The 17,652-nt window shown below is 42.5% G+C and overlaps 1 protein-coding gene, 1 long non-coding RNA gene and 1 pseudogene across 33 annotated transcripts in view, besides 2 other annotated features; 1 reads left to right on the top strand and 2 right to left on the bottom strand.

Annotated features, from left to right (window-relative positions):
- Positions 3,883-6,394, bottom strand: LINC01560 (long intergenic non-protein coding RNA 1560). The gene has a single exon (NR_126059.1). It is a non-coding gene; the product is annotated as a long intergenic non-protein coding RNA 1560 (long non-coding RNA).
- Positions 5,874-6,163: a silencer, noted in NCBI's record as "silent region_20804". NCBI's record gives its function as "represses an Ori minimal core promoter by ATAC-STARR-seq in GM12878 lymphoblastoid cells {active_cell/tissue: GM12878}" and the evidence as "EXISTENCE:reporter gene assay evidence [ECO:0000049][PMID:35858748]".
- The window catches only part of ZNF41 (zinc finger protein 41), a 38,045-nt gene continuing 26,280 nt past the window's right edge, over positions 5,888-17,652 (top strand). For 13 of the 32 annotated variants that reach the window (NM_001324141.2, NM_001324145.2, NM_001324149.2 and 10 more), the window contains exon 1: positions 5,888-6,015. The gene's annotated coding sequence lies outside the window, so the exon portion shown is untranslated. Of the gene's footprint in view, positions 6,016-6,163; positions 6,652-17,652 lie in introns of those variants that run through there. The other 19 variants (NM_001324143.2, XM_047442483.1, XM_047442481.1 and 16 more) reach the window with 3 other exon arrangements.
- Positions 6,154-6,453: an enhancer, noted in NCBI's record as "active region_29593". NCBI's record gives its function as "activates an Ori minimal core promoter by ATAC-STARR-seq in GM12878 lymphoblastoid cells {active_cell/tissue: GM12878}" and the evidence as "EXISTENCE:reporter gene assay evidence [ECO:0000049][PMID:35858748]".
- LOC124900499 (uncharacterized) lies at positions 13,330-13,501 on the bottom strand (annotated as a pseudogene).

The raw sequence follows: 17,652 nt of genomic DNA, 5'->3' as shown, positions 1-17,652 counted from the left end.
TGTGTTATTTACTAGAAGCACTTTTTTTTTTTTGAGATGGAGTTTTGTTCTTGTTGCCCGGGCTGGAGTGCAATGGCGTGATCTCGGCTCACTGCAACCTCCGCCTCCTGGGTTCAAGCAATTCTCCTGCCTCAGCCTCCCAAATAGCTGGGATTACAGGCATCCGCCACCATGCCCGGCTAATTTTGTATTTTTAGTAGAGACAGGGTTTCTCTATGTTGGTCAGGCTGGTCTCGAACTCCTGACCTCAGGTGATCCACCCACCTCGGCCTCCCAAAGTGCTGGGATTACAGGCATGAGCCACCATGCCCAGCCTAGAAGCACATTTAAAATAAAGAGACTGGGGCTGGGTGTGGTGGCTCATGCCTGTAATCCCAGCACTCTGGGAGGCCGAGGCAGGTGAATCACCTGAGGTCAGGAGTTCGAGACTAGCCTGGCCAACATGGTGAAACCCTGTCTCTACTAGAAATACAAAAATGAGCTGGGCATGGTAGCAGGCACCTGTAATCCCAGCTACTTGGGAGGCTGAGGCAGGAGAATCACTTGAACCCAGGAGGCGGAGGTTGTAGTGAGCTGAGATCACGCCACTGCACTCTAGCCTGGGCAATAGAGTGAGACTCAGTCTAAAAATAACAATAATAATAAAATAAAGAGACTGGAGGGGCAGGGTGGCTCACGCCTGTAATCCCAGGACTTTGAGAGGCCAAGATGGGAGGATCACTTGAAGCTGGGAGTTTGAGACCAGACTGAGACCTCATCTCTATAAAAATAAAAATTAGCCTGGCATGGTGATGTATATCTGTAGTCCCAGCTTCTCAGGAGGCTGAGGCACGAGAATCACTTGAACCCGGGAGGTGGAGGCTGCAGTGAGCTGAGATGTCACCACTGCACTCCAGCCTGGGTGACAGAGCGAGACTCTGTCTCAAAAAAAAAAAAAAGAAAACTACTTAAAATGGACAACACTATTTTCCAAAATTTGCCAGAAAACTTTATACTAAACGGTAAAATGTTTAAATCATTTCCATGAACACTGGCAACAAGATAGGGATGTTTTCTATCACATCTATTACTCAACATTATTTTGAAGGATTTATCTCAGCATTGTCCAATACAACTGAGGCTCTATTTCAGCATTGTCCAATACAGCATTGTCCATCATTCTGCAATGATGGAAATGTTTCTATATTTAGCATCATCCAGTACAGTAGCCACTAGCCATATGTGGGTACTGAGCACTTGAAATGTGGCTAGGCAACTGAGAAACCGAATTTTAAGTTTTATTTAACTTAAATTTAAACAGCAGGCCAGGCGTGGTGGCTCATGCCTGTAATCCCAGCACTTTGGGAGGCCAAGGCAGGTGGATCCCTTGAGGTCAAGAGTCTGAGATCAGTCTGGGCAACATGGTGAAATCAAGTCTCTACAAATACAAAAATTAGCTGGGCGTGGTGGTACATGCCTGTAGTCCCAGCTACTTGGAGGGCTGAGGTGAGGGGATCACCTGAGCCTGGGAGGTAGAGGCTGCAGTGAGTAGAGATCGTGCCACTACACTCCAGCCTAGGTGACAGAGTGAGACCCTGTCTCAAAAAATAATAATAAAAAATAAAATAAATAGCCAATGAGCTTAGACGCTACCTTATTAGACAGCTAATACAGTGAAAAAAGAAGAAATATATCAAATGTCAGATAGGAAATATTATCTATATCTGATACAACTGTACAATTAGAAAACCTAGGAAAAAACTGTAATAAGAAGCTACCAGAATAGGTAGATAGTTTTGATAAGGAGTTGGATACAAGATAAAATTATCACCTGTAGTCCCAGCCATTAGGGAGGCTGAGGTGGGAGGATCACTTGAGTCCAGGAGTTTGACACCAGCCTGGGCAACATAGGGAGAACCTATCTCTACGGAAAAATTTAAAAATTAGCTGGGTCTGGTAGTGCACACCTGTAGTCCCAGCTACTTGGGAGGCTGAGGAAGGAGGATCATTTGAGCCTGGAAGGTTAAGGCTACAGTGAGCTGTGATCATGCCAGTGAACTTCAAGGCAAGATCCTATCTCAAAAAATAAAAATAAAAGAGAAAAGTACAAAAATAGGTTATTCCTATACTAGCAGTAACCAGATGGGACTAGCAAAAATAAGTCTTAATGACAACAAAAATATAAATATGCAAAAAATAAATTTAACCAAAAAAGATAAAAAGATGATGGATTTATAAGAAGAAAAATTATAAATATCATTGCAGCATATAAGACGTAATCAAACAGACACATAAAATCCCTAGATACAAAGAAAGGCTTAATGTAATAAAAACATTAAATCTCCCCAACTATTATATTCATATAAATATAATTCCAATAAAATCATAATAGTTTATTTATTTTTTTTTTTGAGACAGAGTCTTGCTCTGTCACCCAGGCTGGAGTGCAGTGGCACGATCTTAGCTCATTGCAACCTCTGCCTCCCGGGTTCAAGCAATTCTCCTGCCTTAGCCTCCCGAGTAGCTGGGATTACAGGCGTGCGTCACTGTGCCAATTTTTGTATTATTAGTAGAGATGGGGTTTCACCATGTTGGCCAGGCTGGTCTTAAACTCCTGACCTCAAGTGATCTGCCTGCCTGGGCCTCCCAAAGTGCTGGGATTACAGGTGTGAGCCACCTCACCCAGCAATAGTTGAGGGTTTGCTTTTTTTTTTTTTTTTTGAGAGAGTCTCACTCTGTTGCCCAGGCTGGAGTGCAGTGGCGTGATCTCTACTCATTGCAACCTCCACCTCCTGGGTTCAAGCAATTCTCCTGCCTCAGCCTCCCAAGTAGCTGGGATTACAGGTGCCTGCCACCACGGGTGGCTAATTTTTTTATTTTTTAGTAAAGACAGGGTTTCGCCATGTTGGCCAGGCTGGTCTCCAACTGCTGGCCTCAAGTTATTTGCCCACCTTGGGCTCCCAAAATGCTGGGATTATAGGCATGAGCCACCTCGCCCAGTCACAACAATTTAGTTTTGCTGTGTTTTTGTTTTTTTTTGCGGGGGGTGGGGGACGGGTTGGTAGCATTCATTTTTGATTAAATGATTTTAAACTTCAGAGAATTCCTAGAAAATAAATTTGCAAGAACAAAAATCCCTTGAAATCAAATAGACTACAGACACAAAATAGAGTTCAGGTCAAGCTAAGCATATTTGTGAACTTATATGACAGAAGCAATATTTAATTCAGTGGTTACAAGGTGGTGTGTTTCATAAATGGTGCCAACTGGCAATACTGAATTTTACCTCATCCTGGTGAGCAGTGCAGGTCAAGAAATCCCCTTACTCCAAAGGGAAAATGGCTTTTCTGGAAAATGGCTTACTGCAAAGAACCATCCTTCCCCATATGACTTAGAAGTCACGGATGTCCCCTGTTTACCTATGAGAAGGCCAGACACCCACTCTCCAAATTCCCATTCTTTGCCTCATAGATGACAAGCCTAACTGCTTGTCTCCACTGATCAATTGGAACAAAATGCTCTTTAGCCAAACTTGAACCAGGCTTCTTTCCTACAAGCTCCTAACTCTGCTTGCCCCCGAGCCTGGGCAAGCATCAAAAAAAGTCGAAATTCCTCCCCTCCCAATGGACCCTGCTTCTCAGCTTCTCCTGGGAATGGGCGCACCACTGTGGGACAATTTCCTGGCAGACCCCACTGGCCATTCCCCCTTGTTTGTGCAGCTTCCTTTCCACAGATTCTGCTTATCTCTGCCTGCCTCCTTACCCTCTACAAGAAAAGCCTTTTTCTGTTTGGTTTCAAGATGCTCTCAGGTTTCTGAGATGGGAGCATTCTCCCTTTTGCAATAGTCTGTCTTTCTAATTAAAGTCTCTTTTTATTTGACACAGAAAAAAGTGTGACACAGGCTTCTTGTTCAAGCTTGATCTTGATTTCATACCATATACCAGAGTAAATTCCAACTAGATTAAAGTAGAAAAAATTAAAGCAATAAAAACACTGAAATACATGTTAAGATTATCTTTCTATCTGGAATAGGGAAGTGAAACTAGGCAAGATGGGATATACAAAAGCCATAAAAGAAAGTTTAGACATATCTGATCAGAGGCTACATTTCACTAGTTACATATTACACATACAATTTTTCTTTCTTTTTTTTTTTTGAGATGAAGTCTTGCTCTATCACCCAGGCTGGAGTGCAGTGGCCCGAGCTCAGCTCACTGCAATCTCCACTTCCCAAGTTCAAGCGATTCTCCTGCCTCAACCTCCCGAGTAGCTGGGATTACAAGCGCCCAACACCATGCCCGGCAATTTTTTTTTTTTTTTTTAGTTGAGATACCACGCCTGGCTATTTTTTTTTTTATTTTTAGTAGAGATGGGTGCTGGGATTACTGTGCCCAGCCCATATAAAATTTTTCTAATTGCACATTTAAAAAAACATAAAATGCAAAAGACAAAAAGAGTTTAGGGAAAAATACTGCAATGTAACTGACAGATGGTTAATATCCTTAATGGACAAAGATGTTAATATCTCTAATGTAATATCCCTAATGTACAGTGTAACTGACAGACTGTTAATATCCCTAATGTACAATGTAATTTGTACACTGTTTACAAATTGATACGAAAAGGAAAAATCACCCTAAAGAAAACTGGACAAAGGATATGAACATTTGCAAAAGAGAAAAGCCAAATGGCCAATAGACCAAAACAATCCTCAATTGCACAAAGTAGTCAGAAAAATACAAAATTAAAGACAGCATCAACATCCAGCGCTGGAGGGGATTTGCCTTAATGAACTTAATGATTTTGCTGGTAGGACTAGGAAACTTTATAATCTTTTGGGGGAAGGAATTTGGCTATATCTATTCAGTAATGAAACCTGCAGTTAATAATAAAACTTCAAAACATAGGAAGCAAAAATTGAATAGCACAAGGAAAACCTGCCAGTACAGTCTCTCTCTCTCCTCTCTCTCTTTCTCCCTGCCACATCACCCCCAGTTGACAAGCTGAAGGGAATTATCAGGAAACACACATTTTAAAAGGCCCAACGCACAAGCTTGAACCAATAGAGCCGCAGAGTACGATAAATCCAACAACTAGAAGATACAGTGTTTTCAATCAAGGCACAAAACCATTTTTGAAAGCTGGCCTCGTACTTGAGCCTTAAGGCAAGTTTCATCAAATTTCAAACTCAACGTTCTTGGGCCACAAGGCAAATGGGCTTAGAAATCACTAACACAGGGATTAACTTCTTGTTCGTTTGCGGAAATGCAAAATGGTGTTAAGACCTGTAACATTTTCTGCAGTCCCTCTAAATTCCTTCTTTGAATAATCGATTCCTAGAACAGGACGCGACGGACCAAGCTGGGTCAAACTGCCGACAGCTCCATTGGGCAGCATGTCCACCCCTGATGACCAAATCCCACCAAACGTGCAGCTGGCACTCGGCCGCCTTTGTTTCCTTCCCCTAGAATAAAACTCCGCTGCTTTCCCACGTTCCTGGAGCAGCAGCCGGAATAAAGCGCCCATGGCCTTGCCCTTTGAGTCTCGGAGGATGTTTGCCACTCCAACAATGGACTTTTAAATAATTCAGGGGTCAAAAGGCGTGTGTGGGGGGGGGAGAAAAGTTACAAATCAGCACTTGAAACCGAACACAAACAAAAATCAAACAAATCCGAACTAATATAACAAATCAAAACTTTGATCTTTAGAAGAAAACTTCAACCTTAATGCTTCCAGGAGGAAAGCAGAAAGGATAATGACTGAATTGTGAAAACGAGCCAAAATGTTCCACCACTGATGTCACACACACCTATGACTCCCTGCACAGATCCACGGTCCCGGGCGCTGAATCCCCGCAACCCTCTGCGCCCACAGAGGTTAAACTCTCGCTGCTGGCGACTTCCGCTTCCTGGCCTAAATCTGACACGCACGACTCCCCCCGCGGCAACTGCACAGGTTCGGTGACAGCCGAGACGCCGAGTGTTTCCCGCAGCCGGCCGGGGTCCAGGTCGGAAATGTAGCCAGTGGGGCCGCCAGGTGGGCTCCAGACGCGGTGGGCGCGGGGTCCCGGCCGCCGCGGGAGAGGGGTCGCCGCGTCCCACAGAGCAGTGCGGCGGCAGGGGCGGGGGCGGGTGCGTCTCGCGACCTGCTCCTGGGGGTGGGGGCTGGGCGATATTTAAAGAGGCGGAGGCTCCCCGGTAGGGACGGCCTGAGGCCGAGGGCACCCTGAGGGCGGAAGAGGCAAAGCGCCTCGCCCGCCGGGGCCTCGGAGGTGACTAACTCCTAGAGGCTGCGGCGGAGGGGAGAAGCCTGGTGGTACATTCCATGGCCCAGTGCCTCGGCCACTGGAAAATCCCACAGGGGTATATCGAGTAGGGGACCGCGGGCTCCGCGGCAGAAATGACCGCCCTTCCAAGATGGCGGCTCCCGTAGAGACACTCCCAAGGAGACAGCCATGTTCCTTGCCTGAGAGTCACTGAAGGAAATTGGAAAGCCCGCCTCTCCTTCGACGCACACGCGCACGCGCACGCACGCACCGGCGCGGTGTAAGGGCACCCACCAGGTGTAATTGTGGGCGAGCGGCCGCTTCGGAGCTGACACTAAGCATGTGCAGATCAAGTCCAGAAGCGCCGGGGTTCCTCGAAGCAGTTTTCAGGACTTAAGGCTCTGGGAGTGAGTTTAACAGACGGACTTAGGGCCACTTAAGCATTGAGATAAATATGGAGATGTTATGACATGGATCAAGCATTAAGATAATTATGGGGATGTTATGACATGGATTTTGTACTCGAAGATGCTCAGTAGGATGAGTAAGGAGGCTTCTCTGGGGTCATTTATAGGGAGGTGCAGAATGAGTGATTGGGGTTTGTGGGTGAGTGATGGGTCACTAGAGAAAGTTGATGGGTAGCCTGTGGGATGAGTGTTGGGGACACCGGAGTGAATAATAAGGGGGTCTGTGGGGTGAGTGATACAGGGTCTCTAGGGTGAGTGATAAGGTATATGTGAGATGAGTGATGAGAAGTCCGTGGGGGTAAGAAAGGGCTGTGCGGGGTGACTACTGGAGGTCTGTGAGGTGTGGGATGGGGTTTATTGGGTGATTGACCAAGGTTCCTGCTGGGTGAGTGATGCGTTTCTTTGGGACTAGTGATGGGGGGCTGTGGAATCAGATATGCAGCTTCCTGGGGTCAGTGATAGGTGGTCTTTAGGTCTGAGATGAGGTTATTTCAAAACCTACTTTTGACTTTGTTGGTCCTCCTGTATCTTTGTTTCTCTGTCATTAATATCTGCCCTTAACTTCGTTATTTCTTTTCTGTTTTTTAATTTTGTTCTCATTTTTAAAGTCCTGAATTTAATGCTTATCTTACTATCCAGTCATTTTATTTTATAATATAAACATTCAGTTTATAAATTTTTCTCTAAGAACACTTTAGCTCCGTGTCACATGTTTTGTTGTGGTTGCTGCTGTTCGGTTTTATTTTGTTTTGAGACAGGGTCTCACTCTGTCGCCCAGAGATGGAGTGCAGTGGCACGATCATGGCTCACTGCAGCCTCAACCTCCTGTGCTCAGTCGATCCTCCCAACTTAGCCTCCCAAGTAGCTGGAACTATAGGCATGTGCTGCCACACCCACTAATTTTTTATTTTGTGTAGACACGGGGTCTCACTATGTTGCCCAGGCTGATTTTTGTTTTAAAGATACAAGAATCTCTCTCTGTTGCCTAGGCTGGAGTGCAGTGAAACCATCATGGCTCATTGCAGCCTCAACCTCCTAGGCTCAAGTGACCCTCCCACCTCAGCCTCCCAAGTTGCTAGGACTACAGGCAGGCTTGCCCAGCTAATTTTTAAATTTTTTGTAGAGATTGGGGTCTTGCTATGTTGCCCAGGCTGGTCTTGAACTCCTTGGCCTCAAGCAATCCTCAAGTAGTCCTCCCACCTCATCCTCCCAAAGTGCTGGAACTACAGGCGTGAGCATCTGACCCACAAGTTTTGATATGTAGCATCTCCACTATAGTTTCCTTCTAATGTTTTCTAATTGCAGTTGCAATGTTCACTCTTACCACTGGGTTATTTAGATATGAGATTTTGATTTCCCAAAACGTTGACATTTTTGTTATTGATTTCTAAATTGTGGTTAGAGGCTGTCACCTGAGTGATCATTACGTGCAGGAATGATGCTTTTAAGTTCAATACATACCACCAAACTACTTTCCAAAACTTTTGTAAAATTGGAACTCCCACCAGCAACATATGAGAAGGCTTCTTCCAAAATCCTGTTCCACATTGGATTTTTTTTTAATTTACCCCATTCTGAGGGCCAAACACAAGGGTATCTAGTTTGCCTTGATGTGCGTTTTCCTGACAACTAGTGACTGAACATTATTTCATTCTTATTGGCCATTGAAATATATATTTAAACTTTTTCATATCCTTTGCCCTTTTTTTCCTTTAGGTGGTTTGTCTTTCTTACTAATTTGTGAATATTAACCTATATTGTAACTATATTTCCTCTATCTCTATATTTTGACTTTGAAAGGTGTCTTCACATTTGATTTTTAAAAAATCATCTATTAAGATATATCTGCCTTTTTCCTTTACAGGTTCTGAGTGTCTTGTCTTGCCTAGTGACTTCCTCATTTCATGTTCAAACAAATACGCCTTAAATTTATTTTTAATATATTTATTTCAATTTTTTAAAGTTAAATTTTAATCTAACTGGAATTTATTTTGGTGTATGGTATGAGATGGAATCAGTTCGTATATTCCATTTGGATAGCTAATTTTCCAGCACCAGTCGTTAAATGAATACCCTTTTCTAATTCAATTAAATGTCACTTTTGTCACATAAGTTCCCAAATGTGTATTGTTTTATTTCTGAACTCTGTTTAGTTCTTCTGATATATGTATCTACTCCTTTTTAAAAAATCATATTGACTTTAGAAATAGTTTTAACATCATGTAGAACTAGTCCCCCTTGCTTTCTTTTTGGTTGCTTTAATTAATTTTCTTGTGCGTTTATTCTTCTTCTTTTTTTTTTGAGATGGAGTCTTGCTCTGCTGTCACCTAGCCTGGAGTGCAGTGGCGCAATCTTGGCTCACTGCGACCTCCACCTCCCGGGTTCAAACAATTCTCCTGCCTCAGCCTCCCAAGTAGCTGGGACTATAGGCGCGTGCCACCCTGCCCAGCTAATTTTTGTATTTTTAGTAGAGACGAGGTTTCACCATATTGACCAGACTGGTCTCAAACTCCTGACCTCGTGATCTGCGTGCCTCGGCCTCCCAAAGTGCTGGGATTACAGGCATGAGCCACCGCACCCAGCCTTATTCTTCCATGTAAATGTTAAAACTATTTTATCTAGTTTCAAAAATAACCACTAAAACTATAATTTTTATAGTTTTCTTATGGGTCCAACACCTTTTTTTTTTTTTAACAGTTCATCCTTAGATATTTTACCTTTGTTTTTATCATCATTGTGAATAGCATATTTTTTTTCTATTTCCATAGGGAAAATCTATTTTTATAATTTTATTTCATATTCAATCCAATTACCAAATTATCATATGAATGTAGTTGCTTTTTACAGTCTCTTACTTTTCCTAGCTATCGTATTCCATCCAATTAAAAATGATACTGTCTCTTCCTTTCAAATATTTATTCTGATCACCTCATCTTCTGTTGCACTAGTTAGAGCTTTCAGAACAATGTTGAGTGACATTTAATAGAGGGTATTTGCTATCTTGTTGCTAATGTTAATGAAAATAACTTGGGCATTTTTTATTTGAATGTGAAAGGTGTTTATTCATTAATCTATTCAATAAACATTTATTGAATACCTACCCCTTGCCAGACATTGGCTTTGCAACCCTGCTTGGCACTTACTAGCTATGATTTTTTTTTTCTAACAGCTTTATTGTATCATTCATCTACCATAAAATTCACCCATTTAAAGCTTACAGTTCAGCAGTTCTTAGCATATTCACTGAATTGTGCAACCATCATCACAATCTAATTTTAGAGTATTTTATCATCCCAAAAGGAAACATCGTACCCATTAGCAATCATTCCTCATTCCCAACCCTCACCCCTAGCCACAGGCAACCACTAATTTACTTCCTGTCTCTATAGATTGGTCTATTCTAGACATTTTATATAAATGGAATCATAAAACGTGGTCTTTTATGATTGCCTTATTTATTTATTTTAGACAGAGTCTCACTCTGTCGCCCAGGCTGGAGTGCAGTGGCCGGATCTCAGTTCACTGCAGCTGCCGCCTCCTGGGTTCAAGCAATTCTCCCTGCCTCAGCCTCCCAAGTAGCTGCGATTACAGGCGCCTGCCACCACGCCCGGCTAGCTTTTGTATTTTTAGTAGAGACATTGGCCAGGCTGGTCTTGAACTCCTGACCTCAGGTGATCCGCCCACCTCAGCCTCCCAAAGTACTGGGACTACAGGCATGATCCACTGTGTCCGGCCATGATTGTTTTCTTTAACTTAGCCTAATGTTTTCAAAGCTCATCCGTGTTATAGTATGTATTAGGACCTTATTCCTTTTATTATTTTGTTTGTTGTGGTACGAACACTTAACATGAAAGCCACCCTCTTAAATTTGGTTTGTTTGTTTTGTTTTGTTGTGACAGAGTCTCGCTCTGTCACCCAGGCTGGAGTGCAGTGGCATGATCTCGGCTCACTGCAACCTCCACCTCCCAGGTTCAAGCAATTCTCCTGCCTCAGCCTCCCACGTAGCTGGGACTATAGGTGCGTGCCACCACACCTGGCTAATTTTTTGTATTTTTAGTAGAGACAGGATTTCAACATATTGGTCAGGCTGGTCTCGAATTCCTGACCTCAAGTAATCTACCTGCCTCGGCCTCCCAAAGTGCTGGGATTACTGGTGTGAGCCACCGCATGTGGCGTATTCTCTTAAATTTTTAAGTGCACAATACAGTACTGTTAACTATAGGTGCAATATACAGCCAATCTCTAGAACTTCCCTCTTGTATACCTGAAATTTTAACCCGTTGAATAGCAACTTCTTATTACCCCCTCCTCTCAGCCCCTGGCAACCACCATTCTACTATCTGTTTCTATCAGTTTATTTTAGAAGTACTTCATGTCTTTTTATTCCTGAATGATATTTCATTGTATGGATACACCACATTTTGTTTATCCATTCATCAGTCGATGGACATTTGGGTTGTTTCCACTTTTTAGCTATTATGAATAATGCTGCTATGAGCATTTGCGTACAAGTTTTTGTATGGACATATGTTTTCATTTCTCTTGGGTGGATACCCAGGAGTGGAATGACTGGTATAAGGAGTGAGGTAGAAATTTACCTCTTCCCTTTTAGGATTTCTTTTTGTCTGGGCCTGAAAGTTAAATTGACATATGACAGATCAACAGAGAAAAGTGTACAGATTTATTTAATACAAGTTTTATGTGGCACAGGAGCCTTCATAAAGAAATGAAGACCCAAAGTAGTAGTTAGAGTCAATCACTTATATACTGGATTGGACAAAGAATACTTAAGTTGTGAAAAAGCAACTCAGTTATGTGGGGAGGCTTAAAACATAAGAGTTTTAAAAAATTTTTTTGGCTTATTTCTCCAAGAAAAAAAGTTATTTTTCATAAGATCTGTACACAATTCTCTTGCTCTCAATTTCCTGGCCTTGATAGTAAGAATGTGGCATTCCAGCTGGGCACGGTGGCTCACGCCTGTAATCCCAGCACTTTGGGAGGCCGAGGTGGGTGGATCACCTGAGGTCAGGAGTTTGAGACCAGCCTGGCCAACATGGTGAAACACCATCTCTATTAAAAATACAAAAACTAGCTGGGCGTGGCGGCGGGCGCCAGTAATCCCAGCTACTTGGGAGGCTGAGGCAGGAGAATCGCTTGAGCCCGGAAGGCAGAGGTTGCAGTGAGCAGAGATCGTGCCACTGCACTCCAGCCTGGGTGACAGAGCGAGACTCAGTCTCCAAAAAAAGGCCGGGTGCTGTGGCTCACGCCTGTAATCCCAACACTTTGGGAGGCCGAGGCGTGCGGATCATGAGGTCAGGAGATCGAGACCAGCCTGGCCAACATGGTGAAACCCCATCTCTACTAAAAATACAAAAATTAGCTGGGTGTGGTGCGCGTGCCTGTAGTCCCAGCTACTCAGGAGGCTGAGGATTCTTCTGCCTCAGTCTCCCAAGTAGCTAGGATTACAGGCACCCACCACCATGCCCAGCTAATTTTTGTACTTTTAGTAGAGATGGGGTTTCACCATGTTGCCAGGCTGGTCTCGATCTCCTGACCTCAAGCGATCCACCCGCCTCAGCCTCCCAAAGTGCTGGGATTACAGGCATAAGCCACTGCGCCCAGCCTTCTATTTTTAACATTTTGAAGAATTGCCAAACCATTTTCCAAAACGGCTGCACCACTTTATGTCCCAGCAGCAATGTATGAGGGTTCCAGTTTATCACATCCTTGCTAATGCTTATTGTCTTTTTAATTCTATCCTTCCTAGTAGGTGTGAAGTGGTATCTTGTGGTTTTGATTTCCATTTCTCTAGTGGCCACTGATGTTGACCATCTTTTCCTGTACTTATTGCCCATCTGTATATCTTCTTTGAAGAAATATCTATTCAAATCCTTGGCCTATTTTTAAATTGAATTGTCTTTGTATTATCAAGTTGTAAGAGTTCTCTAGATAATCTCGATAGAAGTCCCTTGTCACATATGCGATTTGCATGTATTTCCTCTCTTTCTGTGGGTGTTTGTTGTTGTTGTTGTTTGTTTGTTTTTCTGAGACAGAGTCTCGCTCTGTTGCCTAGGCTGGAGCGTAGTGGTGCCATCTCGGCTCACTGCAATCTCTGCCTCCCGGGTTCAAGCAATTCTCGTGCCTCAGCCTCCCAAGTAGCTGGGATTACAGGTGCGCATCACCACACCCAGCTCATTTTTGTATTTTTAGTAGAGACAGGGTTTCGCCACTTCAGCCAGGCTGGTCTCGAGCTCCTGGCCTCAAGTGATCCGCCTGCCTCGACCTCCCAAAGTACTGGGATTACAGATGTGAGCCACTGTGCCCAGCCCAGCCTCTGTGCCTTTTCACTTTCCTGATGGTGTCCTTATAGTTTTCATATGTTCCTATCTTGATTTGTATTTTTCTTAGGAATGGCTCTTGAATTATGTCAGATGCCTTTTTGATGTAATAGCCTAATGGTGTTATTTTCCTAAATTGGTTGTTGTAATGAATGATATTGATATATAATGTGGATCCATCCTTGCCTTCCTGGGATAATTCTGTTGGTCAAAGGCAATTTTCCTTATGAGTCATGGTCAGATTTGAGTTAGTAATGTATTTTTTTCTTTTTCCTCAACTCCATGTCCCTCCATTCACAATTCAGACCAGGACTAGAGCCTGGGCAGAGGTGTATATAGGGTAGGAGCTCTTCTCTTTCTATACAGTCAGTACAAGAACAGAGAAGGCAGGCCCACTTCTTTTTCTATACAGTCAGTGTAAGAACACAGCCTGTGGTAAGCACCAGGAGGCCTGAGTTAGTAATATTTTATTTAGAATTTTTGCCACTATAAAAAATTTGCTTATAGTTTTCTTGTTTTTAGTATATTTAACAAGTGTTGGTATTAAGGTTATGCCAGTTATTAAAAGGAAATCAGGAGATTTCCATTTTTTATGTGTTAAAATAGCATAGACATTCTCTTAAGTTCGACTATATACACATTTAGAACTGATGCCTTTTTTAAAATGGCAAATTTTAACTATTTTATTTTCTCTGATTATTGCTCTACAGATTTCTGGTGGGGGGGATTAATTTTGGTAGTGTATGTTTGCTAGAGATGTTATGTTTTTGTGCATCTGTGCATAATGCTTCATTAATTTACCTTGATCATTTCCATACCTGTGGCAATAGCTTCTTTTTTCACTCCTAAAACTGTGCATGCTTGTGAGGTGTGTGGGTGTATATATACATATATATATATTTTTTTTCCTTTCTCTTTTACCTTGATCAGGGTTCTCATGAATATTTTGTTGTCTTCTTTTAATTTCTTTTTTTTTTTTCAACCTCCCGAGTAGCTGGGATTACAGGCGCACACCACCACACCCGGCTAAATTTTTGTATTTTTAGTAGAGACGGGATTTCACCATGTTAGCCAGGATGGTCTCAATCTCCTGACCTCGTGATCCACCCGCCTCGGCCTCCCAAAGTGCTGGGATTACAGGCATGAGCAACTGTGCCCGGCCTACTCTTTTTTTTTTTTTTTTTAGACAGGTTCTCACTGTGTTGCTCAGGCTGAAGTACAGTAGGGCCATCATCACTCACTGCAGCCTCCAACTCTTGGGTTCAAGTGATCCTCCCGCCTTGGCCTCCTGAGTAGCTGAGACTACAGGCGCATGCCACCATGCCTGGCTACTTTCTAAATTTTTTGTAGAGATGGGGGTCTCACCATGTTGCCCAGGCTGGTCTCAAACTCCTGGCCTCAAGCGATCCACCCACCTTGGCCTCCCAAAGTGCTGGGATTACAGGCACAAACCACTGTACCCAGACCTTTTATAGTCTTTACTCCCACTGCCATCCCTAACCCCTGGCAACCAACCATCTGTTTCTCATTTCTCTAGTTTTGCCATTTTGAGAATGTTATATAAATGGAACCATACAGTCTGTGATTTTTTTTTTTTGAGATGGAGTTTCACTCTGTCACCCAGGCTAGAGTGCGGTGGCACAATCTTGGCTCACTGCAACCTCCTCCTGGGTTCAAGTGGTTGTCCCGCCTCAGCGTCCTGAGTAGCTGGGATTACAGGTGCCTGCCACCATGCCCAGCTAATTTTTGTATTTTTAGTAGAGATGGGGTTTCACCATGTTGGCCAGGCTGGTCTCAAACTCCTGATCTCAGGTGATCCACACACCTTGGCCTCCCAAAGTGCTGGGATTACAGGCGTGAGCCACCGCGCCTGGCCCAATGTGTGTGATCTTTTCAGGTTGGTTTTTTCACTCAGCATAATGTCCTTGAAAACCATCCAAACTGTTGCTAGAACGATAATTCATTTCTTTTTGTTGCTGAGTAGTATTCCATATTATAGATTTACTACAGTTTGTTTAGCCATTCACCTATTGAGGGCCATTTTGCTTGTTTCCAGTCTGAGGCTATTACATATCAAGCTGTAACGAACAGTCTTGTACAGGTTTTTGTATACACATAAGATTTCCTTTCTCTGGTATGAATGCCCAGAATTGCAATTGCTGGATCAAGTGATAAGTATTTTAGTTTTTAAAGAAGCTGCCAAACTATTTTCCAGAGTGGCTGTACCACTTTACATTCCTGCTGGCAATATGTTAGAGATCTAGTTTATCTGCATCCTCTCCAACATTTGGTAAAGACCAAAATTCAAAGAAAGGAAAATAGTTAAAATGTACCATTTTTAAAAGGTACCAGTTCTAAATGTGTTTATAGCTGAACTTTAAAGAAGATAATATCTATGCCATTTTAACACATAAAAATAAATTTCCTGAGTTCCTTTTGAAAACTGGCATAACCTTAATAGCAACACTTGTTAAATATAATACAAAAACAATTATGATTTTTAAGACTTCATGTGGTTTAATGCATTTGTGCTGGTTTTATTTGTATGCGTTGAATGATCCTGAAGGTTTATGCCAGTTAGTACTTCTTTATTGTTTCTTTTATTATTAAAAGATATTCCCCTTTTTTGTTAATCTGTTGAGTGCTTTGGACCTTAATTTCCCCCACGATAATTGTATTTTCAGATCTTCTTTCATTTTCTTGGTATTTGCCTAGTAAATTGTATAGTTTTAAATCCTCATTGAAATATAATACAGAAAAGTACACACATTGTGCATATTTAGCTTGATGATTTTTTAACAGACCAGACAAACCTGCATAGCCACCACCTAGATGAAGAAATGTTACTAGCTCTCAAGAAGTCATGTTTTTTAGCTGGGTGTGGTGGCATGCACCTGTAGTCCCAGCGACTTAGGAGGCTGAGGCAGGACGATTACTTGAGCTTAGGAGTTTGAGGCTGCAGTGAGCTGTGATCATGCCACTGCACTCCTGGCTGGGTGACAGAGCAGGACCCTGTCTCTAAAAAAAAATTTTTTTTGTAGGCCAGGCGCAGTGGCTTATGCTTGTAATCCCAGCACTTTGGGGGGCCGAGGCAGACGGATCACGAGGTCAGGAGTTCGAGACCAGCCTGACCAATATGGTGAAACCCCGTCTCTACTAAAAATGTAAAAATTAGCCAGGCGTGGTGGCAGACGCCTGTAATCCCAGCTACTCAGGAGGCTGAGGCAGGAGAATTGCTTGAACTCAGGAGGCAGATGTTGCAGTGAGCCAAGATCATGCCACTGCACTCCAGCCTGGGTGACAGGGCAAGATGCCATCTCAAAAAAAACAAAAAAAGTTTTAAAGAAGCCATGTGTCTTTCTTTGGGAGGCTGAGGCACTCAGATCATGGGGTCAGGAGACTGAGACCATCCTGCCCAACATGGCGAAACCCCATCTCTGCTAAAAATGCAAACATTAGCTGGGCATGGTGGCGCACGCCTGTAGTCCCACCTACTTGGGAGGTTGAGGCAGGAGAATCGCTTGAACCCTGGAGGTGGAGGTTGCAGTGAGCCAAGATCTCACCACTGCACACCAGGCTGGAGACAGAGTGAGACTCTGTCTCAAAAAAAAAAAAAAAAAAAAAAAAGAAGCCATGTTTTTAAACATAATCATATGGCATTGCTTCATTGCTTTTTTGAGTCTGGCTTCTTTAGTTTAACAGAGTGTTCATGGGATGAGACTCATGCTTGTTGAGTATGGCAATTTATTCTTTCTCATTGCTGTGTAGTATTTCCTTGTATAAATATAACACAACTTGTCTATCCATTCTGATGTTGATGGGCATTTACATAATTTTTAGTTTTGAATAAAGCTACCATGAGCATTATCATCTCTTTTAGTAAACATATATTTGCATTTCTCTTGAGTGAGAGAGAACTGGAGTCAAATAGCAGGGTCATAGGATGTTGCATGTATTCACCATTAATAGATACTACCAAACAGTTTTTCAAAGTGTATGTACTAGTTTATGATCCTAACAAGCAATCTATGAGTTTTGGCTGCTCCACATCCTTGCCCACTCTTGTTTATTTCCCATCTTTTTCATTTTGGCAATTTCTGGTGGGATTATCTTATTGTAGATATGGAGGATTATGTGGAGGATTATCTTATTGTAGTTTAACTTCTATTTCCTTGCCAACTGGTGAAGTCGAGCATCTTTTTATAAACTTATTTGCTGTTTGGATATTTTCTTTGTGAAATGCCTGTTCCTTTTGCCCTTTTTCTGTGGCTCTTAGTGATTTCTAGACATTCTTGATATATTTGAGATATTAATCATTTGTCAAATATAGGTATTACAATTACCTTCTGCCACTGTAGGATTTGCCTTTACATTTTTAATTTTATCTTCTGATGAACAGAAGTCCTTAATTTTAATGTAGTCCAATTTAGGTATCCTTTATCAGGACTTAATATAAAGCACATTAATTAAGACTATAACACTGGTCCCAGAATAGACAAATAAACCAATGGAAATACAGAGTTCAGGAATGGCCCCCACATATATGATCACAAGGAGACACTACAGAGCAGTGGAGAAAGGATAGTCTTTTCTTTTTTTTTTT

Source organism: Homo sapiens, chromosome X (assembly GCF_000001405.40).
Source record: "Homo sapiens chromosome X, GRCh38.p14 Primary Assembly".
Classification (NCBI taxonomy): Eukaryota; Metazoa; Chordata; class Mammalia; order Primates; family Hominidae; genus Homo; species Homo sapiens.
Note: the sequence above shows the minus strand (reverse complement) of the source record. Positions and strands in the feature narration are given on the sequence as shown.